The sequence below is a fragment of the Homo sapiens genome, chromosome 7 (assembly GCF_000001405.40).
Source record: "Homo sapiens chromosome 7, GRCh38.p14 Primary Assembly".
NCBI lineage: Eukaryota > Metazoa > Chordata > Mammalia > Primates > Hominidae > Homo > Homo sapiens.
In genome coordinates, this window is record NC_000007.14 from 21,556,905 (window position 1) to 21,580,316 (window position 23,412).

The 23,412-nt window shown below is 38.8% G+C and overlaps 1 protein-coding gene and 1 long non-coding RNA gene across 2 annotated transcripts in view; one reads left to right on the forward strand and one right to left on the reverse strand.

The window, feature by feature from the left end:
- Positions 1-23,412, forward strand: part of DNAH11 (dynein axonemal heavy chain 11) — a 358,801-nt gene that overhangs the window by 13,866 nt on the left and 321,523 nt on the right. The window contains exons 3-8 of the mRNA NM_001277115.2: positions 1,898-2,094; positions 2,699-2,888; positions 4,167-4,266; positions 7,282-7,493; positions 13,165-13,395; positions 14,902-15,069. Of these exons, the coding sequence (NP_001264044.1) occupies positions 1,898-2,094; positions 2,699-2,888; positions 4,167-4,266; positions 7,282-7,493; positions 13,165-13,395; positions 14,902-15,069 (1,098 nt within the window). The remainder of the gene's footprint in view (positions 1-1,897; positions 2,095-2,698; positions 2,889-4,166; positions 4,267-7,281; positions 7,494-13,164; positions 13,396-14,901; positions 15,070-23,412) is intronic.
- Positions 3,182-19,238, reverse strand: LOC105375183 (uncharacterized). Its single transcript, XR_007060247.1, has 4 exons — positions 19,178-19,238; positions 18,369-18,478; positions 16,422-16,532; positions 3,182-3,336 (listed from the first exon to the last, which is right to left on the reverse strand). It is a non-coding gene; the product is annotated as an uncharacterized LOC105375183 (long non-coding RNA).

Here is a 23,412-nt window from a genome sequence, read left to right on the forward strand (position 1 = left end):
ACGAAAACTAGCTGGGCATGGTGGCACATGCTTGTAATCCTGGCTACTCGGGAGGCTGAGGCAGGAGAATCGCTTGAACCCAGGAGACATGGAGGATGGAGTGACCCGAGATCTTGCCACTGCACTTCAGCCTCAGTGACAAAGTGAGACTCTGTCTCAAAAAAAAAAAAAGTGAGAACATACAGTATTTGGTTTTTCTGTTCCTGTGTTAATTTGCTTAAACCTAAACTCTTCAGCCTGTTTGCAGAGTTCTTCACAAACTACCCGTGCCGTCCTCACAGCCCAAGTATTGCCATTTCTCTCAGGGGTACTGGCTCTATTTCCAGGATGGTCAAACTGGCAGTTTCCTACAAGCACCATACTCCCTGAGTCCCCATGATTTTTATCAGTGTTCTAATTTCTGGAATGCTTGTTGTCTTACTCTGTTCAGGTTGCTATCACAAAATACCACAGACTTGATGGTGTATCAATACTGGACATTTATTTCTCACAGTTCTGGAGCTGGAAGTTCAAAATCAAGCCAGTAGTGAATTCGGGTATCTGAAGGCTGCTTCATGGTTTGTAGACGGCCCCTTCTAGCTATGTCTTCACATGGTGGAAGGGGCGAACAAGCTCCGTTGGTCCTATTTTATGGAGACACTAATCCCATTCATGAGGACTCAGCCGTCATGACAAATACACCTCCCAAACACTCCACCTCCTAATACCATCATTTTGGGGGTTAGGATTTCAATATATGAATTTTCAGAGGACACATATTCACACCATAACACCTGCCTTGCCCTGTTCTTTCATCTTAAAGATTCAAACCAAGTAACAACTTTTCTGGCAAGTCTTTCTTAATACCATTCTCTCCCAGAGGCAGATATTTCTCCCGTGTTTTCATATGCATCCTGGACATACCTCTAATCATGGCAGTTCTTATCTTGACTGTCATAGTTCCAGGATCTCACCTACTGAGCTCACTGAGGGCAGGGACTATCTTGTACTAATCTCTGTATTACTAGCTTGACATGTAATGGGTGCTAAGTAGGAAAAGGTAATAATAATATTTGGAGACATTTGTTTGAACACCATTCAAAAATGAAAGTGAATTTTCAGCTTTTTGTTTAACTAGAAGATTGTATTGTCAAACTAAACTCTAAAAAGGTAGAATAAACATTTTCTGAGCATTTTGGCTAATTCAAGTTTTATAGTAAAATGTTTATAAACTGGACAGATTATATATAGATTATATCAGAAAAATGAAAAAATGTTTAAAATGAGTAGATACTTGAAGGGAAAGCAAGAAGAGACCAACTTCATTAATGCAGCATTCTCTTATTAATTACATAATATATGCCAGGCTCTAGAAATAGGAAAAATACTTTTTCAGAGTTTTCACATAGTTTCATTGATGTTTCCCGTTTCATGGTAGAAGGAGTTCTGAATAAGGTCCATGTGGCTGAATAAACATCTTTCTGACTACCCAAACTTTAATCCTCTGGGATGCCACCTAGGGCTTGAGAAGATTAATTTACTTCTAGCTTCCATATGATTCAGAAAGATTGTTTTCATTAATGTGCCTGCCAGTGTGCTCAGTTTGCATCATGAGGGCAGTTTACCTACTTGACATAGCTGCTTATTTCATGCAGTGTTTGAGTTATTGGGAACCTCCACAAATGTTTGATAAATGGGTAAATGAATGAACAAGCAGTATGCTAATTCCACTTTGACAGAATTTATGTCTAATTGATTAAATCTAAATGGGTCACTGACTTTATCCTCTCTTTGTAGATTTGATATCATTGGATATTTATGAAATTGGACAGTTTTGTTGCCAATTTTGTACGACAAGAAAATCTTTGAAGGAATGCATTGTCTGTAAATTAATTTAACTATGTTTCTCTTTCTCTAGATTTTAGTGCCAGTTCTTTCTAATAAGAACAACCATAAGTCCTGGTCCTGTTTTACTTCACAAGATATGGAATATCACATAGAAGTCATGAAAAAGAAGATGTATATTTTTAGGGGCAAAATGTCTAGAAGAACTCTTCTACCAATTCCCACTGTTGCAGGAAAGATGGATCTGGATCAGAATTGTTCAGAGAACAAGTACGTAACAGTACAATATATACAGGATATTAAAGTAGAGAGCCAGGCCAGCACGGTGGCTCATGCCTATAATCCCAGCAATTTGGAGGCTGAGGTGGGAGGGTTGCTTGATCCCAGGAGTTCAAGACTAGCCTGGGCAGCATAGTGAGATCTCATCTCCACAAATAAAATAAAATGGAAAGTGAGCATACCCATTTAATATCACACCTCTAGCAAACCCATTAGCAAACAGAGAATTACAGCTACATCATATTTTTAAAATAAGTGCAGAAACACCATGTGAATTATTTCCTTTTAAAGTATGCTTTTAAAAAGCAAATTATACAAAAAGCAAACTGTAGTAATTGCCATGCCAGTAACATTATTCCTTTAGTAAAATAGTTTTTGAGGATATAATTCTTTAACAGTGTTTTTTGAGGTTAGAGATATGTCACTGACAGAATAACGTAACCCCACAACTCAAATCAAGACCATAAAAATAATGGATTTTCAAGAATTTATTTTTAGGAAACTAGTTTATGGATGCCTAAAATAACTATTAAAGTCTATGTCTTTGGATAAAATGATTCATCTTTGAATTATTTTATTATCTTAATGTTTGTAGGCCACCGTCAAACGAAAGGATAATACTTCATGCAATTGAATCTGTGGTTATTGAATGGTCACATCAAATCCAAGAAATTATAGAAAGAGATTCAGTGCAGCGTTTGTTGAATGGTCTTCACTTGTCTCCTCAAGCAGAACTAGATTTCTGGATGATGAGGAGAGAAAATCTGTCATGCATTTATGATCAAGTAAGTAGATAGCCCTAGAAATTATAAATTAAATTAGCAAAGTGTCCTGAGCTGCAATGACCAATAGTTTTAAAGATTTAACACACTGTCTTTGTATAATTTACTGGTCTGCCCTCTTTTCTTAATCCAGAGTTCTGTGTGTGTGGTGTGCACTTTTGACATTAATTTAAAGTAACTTTGCCTTTCTGAGAATATTTTGACAGCATTTGAGATGATTGGAAATATTGTGCTACCTTGGAAGAGCAGTACTTACCCAGGGAAGCGTTGAAGACTGGAAAATTTAATTAGTCAACTTAATTGATTTGGGAAGGAGTGAGGTCTTGCTTGGTAGAGAGACACAGCTTTGGAAAGACTAACTTTGGTTCCTCTGCTGGGTGCTTGCCATACAAATTACTTACTTAAGGTTCTAAAAGTTAAGACATCCATTCACATGTCTTTTGGAGATTTTCTGAAACAGAAATTTTATATGGAAAAATTAATATTTTACATATATAATATATTAGGTTCTCTAGATGGATCAACTAATAGGATATATGTATATATGAAAGGGAGTTGATTAAGGAGAATTGACTCACAGGATCACAAGGTAAAATTCTACAATAGGCTGTCTGTAGTTGAGGAGCAAGGGAGCCAGTTGTGAATCAGTCTGAGTCCCAAAACCTCAAAAGTAGTGAAGCCAACAGTACAGCCTTCAGTCTGTGGCCAAAGGCCCAAGAGCCCCTGGCAAACCACTGGTGTAAGTCTAAGAGTCCAAAAGCTGAAGAACTTGGATTCTGATGTTCAAGGGCAGGAAGCGTCCAGCATGGGAGAAGGATGAAGGCCAGAAGACTCAGGAAGTCTGCTTTTCCATCTTCTCCTGCCTGCTCTATTCTTGCTGCTCTGGCAGCTGATTAGATGGTGCCCACCCAGATTGAGGGTGAGTCTGCCTCTCCCAGTCCATTGACTCAAAATGTTAGTCTCCTTTGGCAACACCCTCACAGACACACCCAGGAACAATACTTTGCATCCTTCAATCCAATCAAGTTGACACTCAATTATAACTATCACATATAATAATATATATCCAAATTTAAAAACCTAAATGCAAAATAAAATACAAGGCTAAGAAAAAAATGTATTTTTAAAATTATTTTCAACTGGAAACCAGATATAACTTTGAGTGTTAAATACTGTATCACTTGTGAGTGAAATGGAATTTAAATATTTTATTACAGAATGCATGTATTTAGTAATCGAGTTTATATTTATTAAAGTTCTTCTTTTTTTCCTTTAACTTAGCTTCAGGCACCTGTTGTCCTCAAAATGGTTAAGATCCTGACAACTAAACAAAGCAGCTATTTTCCTACTCTGAAGGACATTTTTCTGGCTGTGGAAAATGGTAAGACTCTTGTTCCTCAGCCTGGCATCAATATCACCATCTGCTCATGATCCAGCCCCTGCCTGCTCGGCCTTGATATTTACCCTTCCGCCATGTTTGTGGAGTGATTGCTCATGGCTCTTCTAATGATAAATTCATCTCACCCTTTGTACTATATTCTCCACCCATACTAAACTACTTTTAGTTTATCTGGTATATAGTAGTACCTGCCAAAATGGCTCCAGATTGAAATTTTAATTAGAATGTTTGTGGAGGAGTGAGGCCTTCATTCGGAGTTAAAAAAAAAAAATAAGTCTGGATAGAGGTTTTCCAATCAACAGATTGGGCTATGGTGAGTCTAGTTATTCATCAGTTCAGTTCTCTGAGTGTGCTTGGTAACCAGTTATTTAGCTTGCAAACACTCAAAGCCATCATTGAAGTTTTGGTGAAGATTAAATGTACAGAGTGGAGGGTTTGTTGAACTTTGAATAGACAATGCATGCATCTTGTTACAAACCAGGAATCATAAAATGATATCCAGTCGAAAGTCTTCTCACCATCCTTGTCCTTCCACTCTCTAGTTTCAGCCCCACCCAAAGATGACAACCCTGCTCAGTTCCTTGATTTCTGTTCATGTTTCTTTGCACATGTATAAGCATTTAGTTATGGATATACATGATACTGTGGTTTTAAATAATAAAATAGATAATATGGACAAGTAACTTTTTTTGTTTCTAATATTAAAAAGTTTATTTTTTCCCACGTGACATTTGGAAAGTTAGGAAATACTGAAAATTCACTTCAAAAATGTTTTAATACATCTTTAGGGTTTTCTGCATGAATTCTGTTTAAAAAGAGGGCATAAGATAAGGAGGAATATATACAGCAGGGGCTCTGTAAGATCTGAATTCCTGTCCCAACCCTGCTTACTGAGCATTTTAAATTTGCTAAGCCTCTGGTTTTTCATTGGCCAAATTGGCCTATTAACACCTTCCTTGAAGAGTTGCTATGTGGATTTAGTATTTCTTAATCTTGTCATGATCAACATTTTGGGTTAGATAATTTTTTTGTTGTGGGGGGCCATCTTACATATTGTAGGATATTTAGCAGTATCTCTGGCCTTTACCTGCTGGCTCCATCCCTGTTGTGATGATCATAAATGTCTCCAGACATGGCCAAATGTCCCCTGGGGGCAAGATTTCTCCTGGTTGAGAATCACTGGGTTAAGGATAGCATATTATACACTATGCAAGGTACTAGACATGTAGTAAGTATGCTTCAATAAATAGAAGCTGTTGGCATTTTTTTTTCTGTGTTAGCATAAGATGAAAATTTTCTCTGGCTACAGATTCTGCAGGAATGAATCCCAGGGTTCCTCTGAGCCTTATGCATGTGTGGCCTGGAGATTCAGGAAGAAAACACTTCTCAATAGAACAAGTGGCTCAAACTCATGGTCAAGTTGAAGGAAGAAAGCTCTTCTCAAAGACACACTTCAGGCATTGTGGAGTCACCACACATGCTGATCACATTTTAAGGACACTTAATATTTAAGGGCACTTACCTACTAGATACGATTATATAATTTTGACATAAACATTGATAAAAATAGTAATTTTGAAACATGAGTACATCTGGGAAAGAAAATAATTCCTGAACATTCTTTTTATTCTCAGGGCTTTATTGTTACATAGACAGATGAACTGGTTACACAGACAGATTAATTGGTTACACATCAAGTGTCTGGGTTCATCCTTGACTCCTGGTGACAAAATTCAGCAGGGTTTTTTTTGTTCTTGACACAAGTCTTTTGGGTTAACAACAAAAACTAGAATTTACTTGACTTTGTTCCCTACTTTCATAATAAAATTTGTTCTCAGTTCCTCAAGGGTATTTGTAGCCTTGGGAGCAAAATGGAATCTCATGGAGATCCATTTAGGGTATATTAAAAGGATCAGTGCTAAGCAAGAGAAAACTTTGGATTCAATTAAGCAGTCATTAATGAGAGTTAAATATTTAAATTTTTTTTCATATCTATAGCATTTTTTTGTTTGATTTTTTTCTTCCTTTTTCTTTTTTGGAGACAGGGTCTTGCTCTGTTGCCCAGGCTGGAGTGCAGTGGTATGATCATGGCTCACTGCAGCCTCGACCTCCCAGGCTCAAGTGATCCTTCCACCTCAGCCTCCTGAGGAGCTGGGACCACAGGCAACTGCTACCATGCCCAGCTAATTTTTAAGTTTTTTGTAGAGATGGGGTCTTGCTATCTTTCCCAGGCTGGTTTCGAATTCCTAGACTCAACTAATCCTTCCGAAGTGCTGGGATTACAAACATGAACCACTGCACCTGGCCCGCTGTAGCATTTAAAAAAAATATTTACCATGCTTAACATTTGTTCTATTGAAATAAACTTCACATAACATAAAATTAACAATTTTAAAGTATGTAATTCATTCCAGTTTTAGTACATTCATGATGTTGTACAACCTCACCTCTGTCGAGTTTCAAAATCCTTTCATCACTGTACTTAACAATTTTAAGTTAAACCTTTATTAATGATATAATTTTTCTCAATCATTGCATGAGTTACTGTCATAGGAAACTGGAATGAGAGAGTAAACAATTCAATTGTGCTCATACCAAGTTCCTAGAAGGAATTAACATTCTAGTGATGAAGTTTGTAATCCAAGCCATAAAGTGACAACATTGCAGAGAGGTTTTATTCCGACAGTTTCCACAGGGTTGAGTAAATTTCTTTAGACTCCAGGGGTATTTTCCCCTTGGGTTTTCCATCACAATTTATTTATGCTATGTGGGTAACTAGATCAGTGCTCTCCCAGATGACTCAGTTACAGATGGACAGCGTATAAGTCTTCCAAATTGCTCGTGTGTAGATTGTAGGATAAGTAATATAAAAGGAACTATGACAACATTTAAGTGTGGCCATGTTGTTTTACGTGGCTCTCTTCTACATGTAAAGTGAATTTAGAAAAAAAAAAAAAACAAACCAGAATCACGTTAATGGTGGTTCTTTGCTTTCAGCTCTTCTCGAAGCCCAAGATGTGGAACTTTACCTGAGACCTCTGAGGAGACACATCCAGTGTCTCCAGGAGACGGAATTCCCACAGACACGCATATTAATCGCTCCATTATTTCATACCATCTGTCTGATCTGGAGTCATTCCAAGTTTTATAACACCCCAGCTCGGGTTATAGTTTTATTGCAAGAGTTTTGTAATCTCTTCATTAACCAGGTATGAAGCATCAAAAAACAGGAACAATAAGAATTGTTGCTGTGAGGTAGGTTTTACGAGACTAGTGAAGAATAATCTAGTATACAGTAAGAACACCATCTTTCTTTTTCTTTTTTCAGAAAGGACATTTTTGGTAACAAAGGCCAGGTAACCTTTTAATCCTAAATGGCAGGAAGCTATGAAAATAAGTCAGACATAATCAAAGGACAAGTTGTTGCTTGGTTTTGTTTAACATCTGTACCTTTCTTCAAAAGGCTTTAAGGCAGCTTCCAGCAAAAGACAGACATGTGTAGTACCTTCTTTGTAGCCTTCCCTTCGGTTTTCACAGAAACACTGGCTGATAAAAGCCTTTTGGAAAGTGTGGTAAGTTAAGAGCATCTGGCAAAAAGAAAATCCTAAAAAAGTAGTAGAATTGTATTGAAAAAATTCTGATTCATTGCTGATCTTTTAAAATCTCTTTTGTAATTGTGTCTCTATTCCTTACTCAACCTGCAAAATGTTAAAAAAAAAAAAATTTAAAAAAAGGACCACCTTCCTCTGTGTCCTCATCCTGTCTGTGTGAATGTGGATTCTTCCATGTTCACAGTACCAGAGGGTATTACATAATTTGAGAGGTAAAAGATACTTGGATGCTACATAATCCAGTGGTTCTTATTTGGAACCACTTAGTCTTAATCTTCTCAGGCTGCCATAGCAAAGTACTATGGATTGGGTAGGTTAAACATCAGAAATTTATTTTCTCACAGTTCTAGAGGCTGAAAGTCTCAGATGAGGGTGCCAGCGTGCTCAGATTCTGGTGGGGGCCCTCTTCCTGGCTTGCTGATGGCTGGCTGCCTTCTCACTGTGTCCTCACTTGGCCATCTTCCTCTTGTAAGACCACAGGTCCTGTCGGATTAAGGCCCCATCTTTACAACCTCATTTAATCACAGTTACCTCCTAAAGACCCTATATCCAGATACAGTCACATTGGGAGTTAGGCTTTCAATATTTATCAATTTGAATGGACACAATTCAGATATTTTTCAAATGAATTAACCAAGACTTGAAAAATGATGTTATTTGCTCAATTTCCCTGAGCAGTTAGGAGGAAAGCCAGACCAAAGAACAGGTCTGCAGACTTGCAGCTTAGAATTTTTGGAGTATGAGGTTGCATTGTTAATATTTTTCATCTCTCTTCCCTCTCTGATTCTGAAAAGATAGAGTGGTGTGTGGGAAAGGCTTTGGACCTAGACCAACCTGGATTGAAATCTAATTTTCTCACTTAAGGGAAGTTCAATTACTCCTCAGTTCCCACATCTATCAGTGGGGATAATGCCTAGTCCATGGCTATTGCGAGGATTCAAAGATAACCTAAGTGAAATGCCCAGCGTAGTGCTCGGTGTTTAATCGAGGCTCAGTAAATGTTAGTTGCCTTCTGTTCTTTTGCCCAAACTATTGACTTACAGGCTAGTTGCAGCTGGTGGTAGCAGATAACAACAGGTCGATTCCTTGCTATATTTTACCATCATCTCCTCTGGTTTTGTTCAATATCTGTTACTCTGTTGGGCAAACTCAGTTTTGCCCTTTTGTTAAACAGGTTCCCTGGGTCCTAATGGCGCGGGTCTCTATGTAAAACACCACAATCCCTGTTGCAGGGCCAAAAACTACGACCACCACTTCCCCCAAACCCCTTTTTAGGGACCTATTTCTCATTTTGAGAATAATTGAAACTGTTTCACTGCAAATCCTTGTTAACGTATGAATCACAGAGGAGACCATTTGTTGGCATAGGTGACTTATTTTAAGTCCTAGTTACCCGTAAGCCTGTAAACTTCTCATCCCTGGCTTCTAGTCTTTCAACAGCCAGAGTCTGCCAAGCTCCTGATAAAATAATGTGGCTTCTCTTGTTCCTTAGTTCTGGCTTCTATCCAAAGGTTTCATTGACCCGATTCCTTTGATTCTATGAACGGCAGATTTCAGACTTTGTGGTAAATATGCCCAACATGTTAGGAGTCAAAAGTTAACAATTAGCCAATGTCCATAGCTGGTTCCCTGAAGCACTAACCACCCTGCCACCAATTTTACTACTTTTATATAGTTATTTAACAAATATTATATAGTACTTATTTTGTTCAGGAGCTTTTCCAAGCCCTTTACAAAAATTCAAAAGTTACACCCTCATAGCAACACTATGACGTAGGTATTATTAGTAGCTTCATTTTATAATGAAAAAAAAAAAAACACTGAAGCCTAAGAAGATAAGTAACTCTCCAACCCAGCAAGTCAGTAATAGAGTTCTCACCCGTTATACCATGCTCCATATTTTAAAATAAGTTTTTTTAATGTCTGAATGTGACCTAATACATGGTATGCTAACGATAATTGTAAAATATTCTCATTGCATAATGTTGGAACATTGGAAATGGTTCTGGAGTTTTATCACTCTATTATTAAAGCATTTTTATTTTTCTGTCCTCCTAAACTTATATATATTTATACATTTTATCATGCATACAATTTTGTACTAACTTCTTGAAAGATTATTTTGTTATTGCTGTATATGTAAGTTGCTTCCAGCCTCCTTGATTGTAAACAGTATGCAGAAAAAAACTATACAAAGATCCCCTCTTTTGACTGGAATGATTGGCTTACTATAAATTCCTGATGTTGGTCAAAGGGTACAATCTTTTCATGGCTCTTGAGCAATATTTAATACTTTCAAATTATTTTCTAAAAGGTTATATCAATTACATTGTTATTATCAATGTGTAAAAGCTTTCACTATGACCTGTCAACTTGGAGCATTGCCATCTTTAAAAAAATTTGGGGTCATTTATTGGGTATCTAGTGGTAACATGTTTTTAAATTTGTACCTTGCATGATATATGTGTGATTACACATTTTATGTTTTCTATAATTGTATTTCCTCTTGTCACCTACATGTTCTTTGCGTTCATGAATTTATTGATAAAGTTTTTGTGAAAATTCAAGCCCTTCCTATGTTACATATTAGAGGTCATAAGCTGACATGCTGTCAGCTCATTCGGCCCAAGGATCAATGCAGTGTTTTTATTTTGTATAATATTTTTAACTTAAAATTGTTAATACTTAAATTGGATAGATCTCATTTAAATGCCAGCATTTCAGCCTCCACTGAAAACTCAGAGATCTTGCTACAGTGCTTGCACCATCCCCACAGGCGCAGCCAGTGACTGTAACTTCAAATGCCCCTTAAGGTGGAACAGGTGCTGTGTAGATGACCATGACCTTCACTGTTCACTGTCCTTTCTGATCTACTTTACTCAGTTTCATTACATGCTTGACCCTATGACGGGAATGCCAGTCAGAGTCGGAAACTCTTTGTTACTTTAAAAGCAAATGTATTTCTTTTCTCTTGTTTTCTAGCAGTGAACATTAACATCATTATCTAGGCCAGACACATAAAAGGCATCACCTGTTCACCTTGCGTGCTAGCACAGGCTTTGGTAGTGGGGTCTTAATGCCTTGCCTTTCTTCTCTGGTAACCTGACACTACTCCATGGTCCTTGTGTGTCATTACCACTCTAGACACTACGTTGTCTATTCCATGGCTTGGTGTATCTATTGTAGATATTGTCACCTACAAGATCCTAGGTGAGGAAGAGTTAAAGTCTGAGTAGTCGAGTGTGGAGTGGAGCTGTCAGGACTGAGCTAAAATAACAGTCCATAAAAACACATGCAAAAGAATAGAGAAGCAGCAGCAGGGAGACGAGCCTCAAACTAACAATATCATTGGTAAATTGGTTAATTGATCATTAGCTTATTGATAAATAAGTTGGTAAGCAGTGTTTTAGTTTATAAGACCTCTGAAGTGGGACTAGTTCATCCTAAATCTAGTGGCTTTTAGCTTGTTTGTGCTGGTACCATTGAGTGTGCGATGATAGAGCTGGTGTGGTTAGGCGTGCTCCAGACTGGGTACTGTGAGAGGTAGAAAAGAATTTAGAGTTTATGAGCTAAAAGGGATTTTGAAGTTCACCTAATTCATTTCCCTCATTTTGCAGCTAAGGAAATAGATCCTCTGAGACAACTTAGCTAGTATCACAAAAGTAGTTTGTGGCCCCTAGTAGGGTCACAGCCAGCCCCTGCGTCGGGTCATGCTTTTTCCTTCACACGTTCTGCCTCCCCGTGCAAGGAGACAGACTGAGTGTTTTCATTTAGGACATTAAGTGCCATCTTAGGAGGCCTTACTCAACAGTGGGCTGTATGAACAGGAGGTTCTTTGTCTATGATTGTCTCATCTATGCGAGGGGCCAGCCAGGAAGCACAGGAATAAACATTAAGCATGACTTGTCCTAGGGATGTTACTTTACATACAAGTAATTAGGTAACAGGGGGCTGCTGAAGCAGAAAGGGCCACTCGAGCAAAAGATGGAGTCGTTTGCCATAGATTTTTCAGCATCCTAAAAAGACACATTTACTATAAAGAATACATAGAGATAAAGGTATATGGAATACACCATATGCCACATCAAAGTGTCAACTCTTTTAAAATTCACATTGCTGAGGGATTCCTGGTGGTTCTCTTCACTGCCCTGAATGACTTGCTGTTATAGCACCCTCATGTGGAGGTTAATTTTCTATCTAACCTGACAGGGAAATAAAAGCATAGATTGGGAAGGAGTCTAATCAGTAGGGGTTTTAGACACTAAATGAATGATTTCCTTATTGCCTTACAAATTCATGGCACAGAGCCTATATTGCATGTAAAACTGTTTTCATTAATGGGAAATGAAAGGTCATATGCCTACATTTAGGGAAGAAGTGCTTCCCTCTGCTATTTTGAACTCAGGGCTTTCATTACATTATCCATTGACATCTTGAACAACATTCTAAGCGACCACAAAATTGAAGGCACACAAATTAAACCTATAATTTATATGAGGTTAAGATGCGTCAGGAAGAGGTAGCATACAAAAGAACCTTCAGAATGCAGAGGTTCTTGGTCCTTGAAGAGGGGAATTCTGAATGTTTATACCAAATATGAAGAGAGAAGAAGTTGGGAGTGTCGGTTGATCCCATGAGAATTTGACCAGTGCCACGTGGATCTTCCAGTCTTTTCTTTTATCCTTCTCCTCTCTTCCTTTCTTTTCCTCTATTCAAAACTAGTTCATGTGGCACACGTCAGCCAGTTTGTATGTCCTATAATGTTACTTGAGCCCCCAGAAGAGAAGTTTGCTAACTTGAAAGAATTTCCACTGTTACACACTCCTAATCAGCTCTTTCTCTTTACAAGTGGTCCTGAACTACCAGGTAAAGTGAGCATACTTTAAAAATTCATGTTCTGATAGATTTCCTTGTCTGCCTCGTATATTCTTTAGATGAGAAAACGATTGTTCAGAATATTTGCTGGCAGGCACAGTCATGCAAATTACATGACAGTTGTCATATAATGAGGCTTAGCAACAATTTAGTCATTTGCTAGAATGTAAAAATCCAGAAATAGTAGGGTCTCCTGTATGTAATTCTAACTTATACAAGTATGTCATTGAAGTCCAAGTAGCTGAATTTCTAGAACTTGTGCTTTCTTTCTTTCAGCATTGCTGGCCCAACTTTAGATACTGGCATTTAAAAATGATTCTTTGAAACAGAGACGGTTACAGGGAAAAACTGTTAAACATAGTTTTGATCATTGTTCCCTTTCATTAAATCCTAGGCAACAGCTTACCTTTCACCTGAGGACCTTTTGAGGGGAGAAATAGAAGAGTCACTGGAAAAGGTGCAGGTGGCTGTTAACATCTTAAAGACTTTCAAAAACTCCTTTTTCAACTATAGAAAAAAATTGGCAAGCTACTTTATGGGAAGAAAGCTGAGACCATGGGATTTCCAGTCTCATCTGGTGTTTTGCAGATTTGACAAGTTTCTTGATCGTTTAATAAAAATAGAGGTATTCATTTTTTGATTTTATTTATTCATGTTGAAGGTGGGTGCAAAAAGCCAGTAGCTTTTCACATGATTCATGGAACAGTTTACTTTATATCATAGGTGGAGGTCTCCTTTCTCAGTGATTCTCATAAGGAGCTCAGCAGGCCAATGCTATGATGATACAAGGGCATTTTTTAAATCTTTAATTTGGATTTTTTAAAAGTTCATTTTTGATTCCATTATTACATTGAGTATAAGTAAATCTCTTTATGTATCAGTGACTCTTAGAATTGACTAATCTGAGAGAGAGTTGTAAGTCAGGAAGCAGTAAGCTCATCCTCTGTAAATAAATCCACTTTTCCTTTTGTATATTTAATGCTTAAAATTGGTATTTCATACCCTAAAACCCATTGCATAATTTAAATTATCACACTTTTTTAGTATATGAATATATGCTGTACTACAAAAATATTAAAACCATTTGTAAAAATAAAACATGGAAAAGTATGTGCTCTGTGTAAAAGTTTTCAAATACCTTAAAACCAAAAATTAAACACATACAACCTACACATTCTTACATTTATATGGTGTCTATTGGCTTAGTTTAAAAAAAAAAAAAAAAAGTTTAAATTGATGACACTGCCTTATTTTCTTTGTAAAGCTCTAAGAATTTTGGGCATTGTCATTGATAAAGGTTTGTTTTATTCCATTCAAAATTAGAGCTTTATGTCTTGAGAATTCTCGTAATCACTTAAATGAGCCTGAATGCCTCTTCTGTCTCTGAATGTGAAATACCTAATGAAGGGCAGCTTACATATGCCTTCCTTAACAGTTTCCTGGGCTCGCTTTCAATAAAGCAGACTCACTGCCGGGTATGGGGTGATGAAAACAGGAGTTTTGGATATTACCTGGGGATCTGACTTACGTTTAGGAAGATATAAAATTGGGGGAGTTATGTGTCTAGTTATGGTAAATTAGAGGTTGCTTCTACTGCGAGATAGTTTTTGTTTTCTTTTTTTTAGAGACAGGGTCTCATTCTGTCACCCCGGCTGAAGTGCAGTGGTGTGAACACAGCTCACTGCAGCCTTGACCTCCTGGATCAAGTGATCCTCCCGCCTCAGCTTCTCAAGTAGCTGGGACTACAGGTGCACGCCACCATGCCTAGTTAACTTTTTAATGTTTCATAGAGACAGGATCTTTCCTTGTTGCCCAGGTTGGTTTCAAACTCCTGGGCATAAGCGATCCTCCTGCCTCGGCCTCCCAAAGTGCTGGTATTACAAGCGTGAGCCCTGTGCCTGGCCAGTGAGAGTTAATTTTTAATAAACATGAAAATGGGAGAGTAATTTTAAAAATTAGCAATGACTTTGTTTAATTAAATACTTATTTCTGTCATGAAAATATTTATTTTCTGTCATTTTCTGTCATTGACTCATTGATTTTGAACATTTGAAAATGTTCTTGATTTGAAACTTTAAAATATTTTGCTGCTCAATGTAGTGGAAAGGTCTTTACTGTGTTTTTTACAAAGGATATATTTGCCACCACTTTGGAATTTGAAAAGCTGGAAAGACTGGAATTTGGTGGTACCAAAGGAGCAATTTTAAATGGACAAGTCCACGAGATGAGTGAAGAACTTATGGAACTCTGTAAACTTTTTAAACAGAGCACTTATGACCCATCTGATTGCACTAACATGGTAATGTTGTACCTTTGCATTTTCATTGCATGGGATCCTATAATTTTATAGCTGAAAAGGAAGATAGGTCACAGTGATAATAGGGACCATCCATTCCAATATCTCTAGGACCAAAAGAGGTTACATGACTTGCCTGAAGTCTTGTAGCTACTTAGTTAGTAGATCAGGGATCAGAACTTAAGCTTTTGCATTTTCAGTTCAGAATGACGGCTGATAAAACTGCAGACCTCAGTCTGGATTTGTATCTTGTTTGTGTATGCTAAACAGAAACTTTCCACATGAATTCATTTTGATCTGATGTCCATGTAACTCGTGCTTTATTTTAGCATTTTCTTGAATCACTGGATGTTTTGTTTTTTGATTCACCTGAACACTTGCTTTCACCCCAGTCATTAAGTGTATCATTTACATGTTGGTTGTTTCTTATAATTTTTGTTATTCTTGAGAGCTGATTATAATTTCATATTTCCAACCACAGGAAAGGGGGAACCTTTCTGATTTAAGCTGCTTCTGTGCTCTGTCAGTTCCAGCATGTTAGTAGCCAGGGAGCTACCTGTGAGCATCCCTGCAGTTCTAGGATAAAAATAGCTTCATTTTAGTAGTTTGCCAAGAACAGCGAAGCCCAAGTCCAAAAGAATGAAGATTTAGCTCTTGTTCTTATTATTGTATATGTAATGTGAGTTTATTCACTATTGTTTATATTTGGCCAAACAATTGATTCTTTGAAGTGTACGAGTGCAGTATGTTAGCTTTATAAGGATGTAGTTAGCAAACTTAAGCCCTCTGAATTATAGTCAGTTTTGGAAAGTGGAGTTAATGGTAGAAGGACACTGCTGTAATAGGTGACTTTTTGCTAAACCAGGGCACTACACTTTGTGAAAAAGTATGAGGAACCTAGGATCATGGTGATGAATAATTTGAGTGAGCTCATCCCCAAAGCCTTGTAAGATGCCTGGCACTTGGAAGGCATTCAATAAATACGTACAGAATGGGATTCTTAAGAGAGCCTCTAGGTTAGCGCCGCTGAACGAGCTAGTGGAGGAGGAGTGTGAGACTGAGCCTGCACAAGATCCTTGGGGACATTTGGATTGCAAGAGAGTCTTGATTTTGTTATAATTACAAAAACTGGCAAGTTTTCAGAGTGCCAGAATTAGAGAATGTGGCCAGGTTTAATTGACGTCACTACCTTGGCCATGCCAAAGGTCCTGATTTTACTCCTGTCTCTGCCTAAAGCCTGCATAGTCACAAACATGTAGGAATAGAAAATTCATTTACTCTTGAGGTATATATCTGCTTGGTATTTGTATTTTGGAAGCCTATTCTATTTTGCAGATAAGGTGGGCAGGGTTTACCTCTGATCTTCGGTCTGGTTGGAGACATCATAACCTTCCCCTGAAGTTCCCTTCATCCTCCTGTCTGATTCTTGCCTTAGAATCTAGAAGCTCCTTGACTTTGGTCATTCCCTAAAATTAAAACATGAATTAACTAAAAGTTAACTTAATCAGCATACTTATGTTGAAAATGACCATTACTTTTTTAAAAAAATGTGTTTTGCCTATCATTATTACTTTAAAATATTGCATTTATCATATATTTTTGCTTAATAAGCTGTTCATTTTGGTGCTTTTTAGCTGAGTTCCTTGTACTTTGACTTCATGATGAAATCAGTTGGTAGTTTTTGAGACATTATTTTAACAAATGACTTCCAACCTAGTGTATGCATATATTTGCATGTACATATGAATACATGCCCAACCTCTGCCCTTCCCCTCCCATTGCATTCACCCCCATGTTCCTGCTCCTGCCCCATCCCCTCTGACTACAAACTAGTGCTTATATAACAGGGAAGTGTGTCAGGGTCAGCCATTCTGCCCTTTGGTATATACATGGTTTAAATATGTTCCAGTAAATTAAAGAAATGATCACTGGTAATTTGCTTTTTGAAATGCTGTTGTTTATTTCTCTTCTCATCAATCTCATGCCTACTAATCAGGCTTTGAGCCTTTATTGGCGTACCGAAAGGTTTGCTGCCGTGGTCCATTTACAGAATGTGGGGATTTTATCAGGTGTGCCCATAAAAATGGTTTTGGGTTTCTCAATTATTGAATGTTACTTTAGGTGTTTTCTTTGACATCTTCTTAGGGGACTGTTTGAAATCTAGACAGTTATGGGAAGAGACTTGCTTTCTTCATTATTAATGTTGAACAGTTAGTCCAGCAATATTAGACTCAGTAATTTTGCTGTCTTTCTGTGGTGTTTCTTGATGAAATCCCTCAGATACCTAAGCAAAGATGGTAGCTATTCTTGTTGAGGGTAACCCCTTGGCTCCACTTAGTCTCTGTTAATGAGAGCCAGTTAATATTTATGGACGAAGTACTGGATGCCAGGCGTTGTGCCAGAGATTTCCCACATTATATACCTGCTTAATTTTCACTATAACCCAGAGAGTGGTCCCGCAGGCAAATGACAGTTTCACTAAATTACCTGAGATTATAGTTTCCAGTTGGTGGAATGGAAGTTTGAATCCAGAACTCTCAACCACAAGCCCTGCATACTTTTGTTTTCCCTCCCTCCCTCCCTCCCTTCCTTCCTTTTTTTTTTTTTTTTTAAGACAGAGTCTCACTCTGTCGCCCAGGCTGGAGTGCAATGGTGCGATCTTAGCTCACTGCAACCTCTGCCTCCTGGCTTCAAGTGATTCTTCTGCCTCAGCCTCCTGAGTAGCTGGGATTACAGGGGCACACCACCACGCCCAGGTAATTTTTTTGTACTTTTAGTAGAGATGGGGTTTCGCCATGTTGGCCGGGTTGGTCTCAAACTCCCGACCTCAGATGATCCACCCTCCTTGGCCTCCCAAAGTGCTGAGGAGATTACAGGCGTGAGCCACTGCACTGGGCTTTTTTTTTTTTTTTTTTTTTTTTTTTGAGACAGTTTCACTCTGTCACCCAAGTTGGAGTGCAGTGGCATGATCTCAGCTCACTGCAACCTCTGCCTCCCAGGTTCAAGTGATTCTCCTGCCTCAGCCTTCTGAGTAGCTGGGATTACAGGAGTGTGCCACCATGCCCAACTAACTTTTGTATTTTTAATAGAGATGGGGTTTTCCACCATGTTGGCCAGGCTGGTCTTAAACTCCTGGCCTCAAGTGATCCACCTGCCTCGGCCTCCAAAAGTGCTGGGATTACAGGCATGAGCCACCATGCCCAGCCCCTGCATTCTTTTCACTGCACCACCCTGTTAGTATTTATCTTGCTTGTTGCATCCTCATTGAAATGAAAGGAATAAGTTCATCTGTGGGAACTCACCTGAGGACCTATGGCCTGAGATGGAGTGATCCAGGTTGCTGTGTCTGCTTTTCTGCTGATTTTCAGTGGGAAGCTTTATTCAGGTGCCTTGTTCACCATGATATCAGAATCTAAAATACATTTTAAAAGTAGTTATTTAGTTCATCTGTACTAGGTTGTATTCTAATTCCTAGAACGAGTCTATTGTTCTGCTGTCACTCACTGAACTATTCTTTTGCTATTTATGTAGTGTTTTCTCATTTTAATTAAACAGATTTCATCTTTATTAGTCATACACAGCATTTTCATGTTTTGCCTGCCTATTATTCAAGATTAAATGAGTTATTTAGCAACCTTCCTTAGTAATTCTTTTGGAAAGGTAACATCTGTAAAAACTTAGTCCCTTTCTTCTCACCCTATGGCCTTTTCCCTAGTCTTCCATTTTTCCTCCCCAAAGGCATCTCTATTAAAAATTTCTTATATGATGTTCCAGAGATATTTGGTGCATGCACTGGCATATACATATATTTATTCCTTTGTTTTCTGCTTTTGCATTAATAGCATTTATACCTTGCTTTTATCCCTTACTATATTTTGGCAGTCATTCTGTGTCACTACAATAGCATTGCTCATCTTAAAACAACTGCGCATTCCATCAGATTTATATACTAAAGTTTATCTTATTTATTTTAAAATGTCATTTAGTAGATATCATTGTTTAAAATTTTAATGAGAAACTTCTGCTTCTGGAAAGAGGGAGATGTACTTTTCCCTACTGCTCCCAGTAAGTGCAACTAAAACACTGGCCGTTATACAGTAGCATGGCTCACCTGTCACCGAGACTCCTCTAGATCTTGTTGCTGCTGAGTATCCTACCTGCCAGCGATGGAGATTGACTCTGAGGCTCCACCATGGTATTATCCCTTGAGGAGACCAAACAGCTGCTTGGCAGGAAGTTAATTACCCAAGAAGGACAGCGATTCATCTTGTACAGGATTGATACATATTCCAAGGTTGTGTCTTCCTTGCCTGCCTGAAAGGCCTCAGCAAGCACGGCGGCCACAAACAACCCTTGAAAATGTCTATTGCAGGAAGCCCAGAAAGGAAGCACCAAGTTGGTTTAAGGGACTGTTCTTGGGGTTGTAGGGGAGAGGAGATAAAAGGAAGCCAAGATCTGAGATCCCAGAAGATCTTAATACTGACTCAAGACTCTCTTGAAAGATGTAAACTCTGATAGAGGGTATGGATAATATGTTTGATCCTTTCTAGGGCTTAAGCCAAGACCCTATCAAGCAAGTAAGTGGGAGATTGTGCTTATAAACAGCTCTTTTGAAGTAAGACAGATGTTCTCCTTGCTTCTCAGAATATTTTAGGCCAAAGCATTTTGTGGGCATAAATTAGCCTAATATCAGTGTCAATGCTGTATTTCAGCTTACTCGTGAAGACCTGGTCTTTGTGCTGTAAGCAATTAAGAAAGACAGAATTCTTAAGTGTATTTCAAGGAAATGTAAAAACAAAGTGTTCAATGCACACTTATGTATATATATTATGATGTTTATAACAAAAGTGTGAAAACACACATGGGAAAGATTGAAACTTACTTTGGGGTAGTGGTTTTCTGGGCAGGCAGAAAGAGAAATGTGTCTATGTGTGTTACTACTTATTTCTGAAATAAAATAACAGTATCTGAGAAAAACAAAACAAAAAAAACACTGGCCATTATATATAAAACAGACCTAAGAAGACTCTGAAAGGTGAAAAGAAAAAGGCAGAGTGGCTAAGGATATTGGGACTCAAGAAACAACAACGTGATGATGAGTTCCCTGGATTTTCCTGTTGCCTGAAGTAATCCAGACTTGGAGCTGAAAACACTGGCAACCAGGAAATGCCAGTGGGCACAGACCAGAAAGAAGCCCAGTAAAAGCCTGATCTCTCCCTAGCCAAAGGCTCAAGAAGGAGAGAGCTTAACACAAAAGAAGATTTGTAAGCCATCAACTGTCCACTCTAGCCAAACACCATGGAAGAAACTGTGTCCCACCCCTCCCCTTGCCAGGAAGAGCTGAGTGGGGAGCCTAGACTTACACCCTTTCTGTCTGAAAATGCTCCAACTCCCACCCTTGCTGGGGTGATGTCAGAGATGACCACATAGGGAGCCATGATTTTCATCCCTGCTGGCCAGGAATGAACTTCATTCTCTGTGGTGTCCGGAGACCATGTGGGAATCCTGGATTTCCTTCTTCACCCAGCCTGATGTTGGAGCAAACCTGATGGAGAGTCCAGACTATCACCCTGAGGCCAAGTGGTAACAAGGCCACCTGCACTTGTGGCAGCAGTAGAGACCACATGGGGAACTGGAAGTCCCAACCCAGCGGTAACAAGGAGCCCCGCCCACCCTTGGTGGATGAGTAAATGCCGAGTGGAGAACCTGGACTTCTGTCTCTATTGTAATGAGGCTGGAGCAGCATCAGAGAAAGTCAGCAAAAACAAAAGGTTTAAATAAGAGTCAGAGTCTTATAACAATATGAAATTTCAGTAGAATATCAGTTAGTATACCAAGAACCAGGAAGATCTCAACTGAGTGAAAAAAAGACAATCAGTAGATGCCAATACCAAGATAATAGAGATTTTGGAATTACTTGAAAAAGATTTTAAAGTAGTGTATTAGTCCATTTTCACATTGCTACAAAGAACTACCTGAGACTGGATAATTTATGAAGAAAAGAGGTTTAATTGACTCACAGTTCCACAGACTTAACAGAAAGCATAACTGGGAGGCCTCAGGAAACTTACAATCATGATGGAAGATGAAGGGGAAGCAAGGACCTTCTTCACATAGTGTTCAGAGAGAGAGCAAAGGGAGAAGTGCCACATACTTTTAAACCATCAGATCTCATGAAAACTCACTGTCATGAGAACAACAAAGAGTAAATTCACCCTCCATGATCCCCTGTAAAATCAAAAACAAGTTAGTTATCCAAGATACAATGAAGGTACACGTATTGGGTAAATATTCCCCTTCCAAATGGGAGAAATTGGCCAAAACAAAGGGGCTACAGGCCCTGTGCAAGTGTGAAACCCACCAAGGCAGTCATTACATCTTAAAGCTCCAAAATAATCTCCTTTGACTCTATGTCTCACATCTAGGACACGCTGATATAAGAGGTGGGCTTCCAAGGCCTTAGGCAGCTCCACCCCTGTGGCTCTGCAGGGTACAGCCCCCACAACTGCTTTCACTGGCTGATGTTGAGTGCCTGCAGCTTTTCCAGGTGTATGGATCTACCAGCTGTCAGTGGATCTCCCATTCTGGGGTCTGGAGGACAGTGACCCTCTTCTCACAGCTCCACTAGGTAGTACCCCAGTGGGGACTCTGTGTGGGGGCTCCAACCCCACACTGCCCTAGCAGAGGTTCTCCATGAGAGCTGTGCTCCTGCAACTGACTTCTGCCTAGACATCCAGGTGTTTCCATACATTCTCTGAAATCTAGGTGGAGGTTCTCAAGGCTCAACTCTTGGCTTCTGTGTACCCACAGAAACATGTGCCAAACACAACTGCCTACCCAACGTCTCCACTGAGATATTTCATACACATCTCAAAATCACATTCAGATCTAAACCCCTGCCTGTCCCTCCCCAAACCTACTCTTGCCTGTCTCTCCAACTCATTAAATGGTACATATAATGGGCTACTTAGTGAGAAACCTTTGAGTCATCTGTAATCTTGCTCATTTTCTCACAACAACCATCCAGTTCTTTCAGCTATGCCTTGAAAGTATTTCCAGGTGTTTTCTGTGACTTGGCTTATTGCACTTGCCTCCAAACTGCTCCCTCTTCCCCATCTTGGCTTTCTTAGTTTGTTCTCCACACGGCAGCCTGAGTGCCTTTTAGACACTAAGTCAAACCATGGCTTTTCTCTAATTACAACCCTTCAATAGCTTCTCATGATGCTAATAAAGGCAATTATGCAGTTTTCAGAATACAGCAACATTTTTATAATGATTTCTGAACAATACTAGCACATCATTTATTCTGTAATATATATTTATTGAGAAACAGCTATGTCCTGGGAACTCCATTAAATATTGGTACTGTAATTGTGAAAGAAAAATAAACCTGGCAGTTACACTCAGAGATTAAAATCCAAGGGAGAATGTAGACAGGCAGTTATCATATGGGTGCCCGGTGCTGGAGTATGAAGAGTACAGAGTGCTCTGAGAACATTTACATAGGGCCCCTTTCCAGAGGAGGTGAAATGTAAACTGAGACCTGTAACATAAATAGAAATGAAGCAGGTGAGAAGTGGGTGAAGGAGAGAGACAGAATGTGATAAGGCTTTGTGGCTGGATCTGAGAGTGTGAAATTGGGAGAGATGGCAGAATAGTTAGGAGCAGTAAGTGGCATCCAGACCACATAGGGTCTTATGCAGTAGATTATGCTAAGACCTTTGGACGTTATCCTAAGAAACTGACAATTCCGAATTAAGATTGTGAGTTAAAGGATTCTAAATAAGAAAGTGACATGATAAGATTTCTATTTTAAAAAAGATTATTTAGTCAGCCATTGGAGGATGAATCAGAGATAGGACTAGAGGCGAAGAGTAGTTAGAAAGTGATTAACAGATACCCAGATGAGCAATAATGGTGACTTGGACCAAGGGCATCCTGGAGATGGAGGATAGTAGAGAGACTCCAGAGGTAGTTAGAAGAGCACTTGACAGAGAAGTCAAGGAGGTTGCCCAAGTTTCTATTAGGGTGTATAAAAAGAAGAGCAGCTTTGTAGAGAAGATAACAAGTTCAGATTTGTACTTGAACAAATTAGGTATGAATTTTTTGTGGGACTTTCCAAGGGAGAGGTCCCACGTGCAGTTCTAAATTTGTTTTCAGGAATGAGTGAGTGAGAAGGGAGGGAGGTGACAGATATCAGGGAGGGAGACTAGCATATTTTTCTCTCCCTGAGATGTTTATTTCTAAATGTTCAGTTAATGTTTTGTGACCTTAAGCCGTATGTTCTCTATTACTATACTAAGAAGAGGGATGTTAGGCGTGTTAAAACTTGTTGGGAAGTTGTGT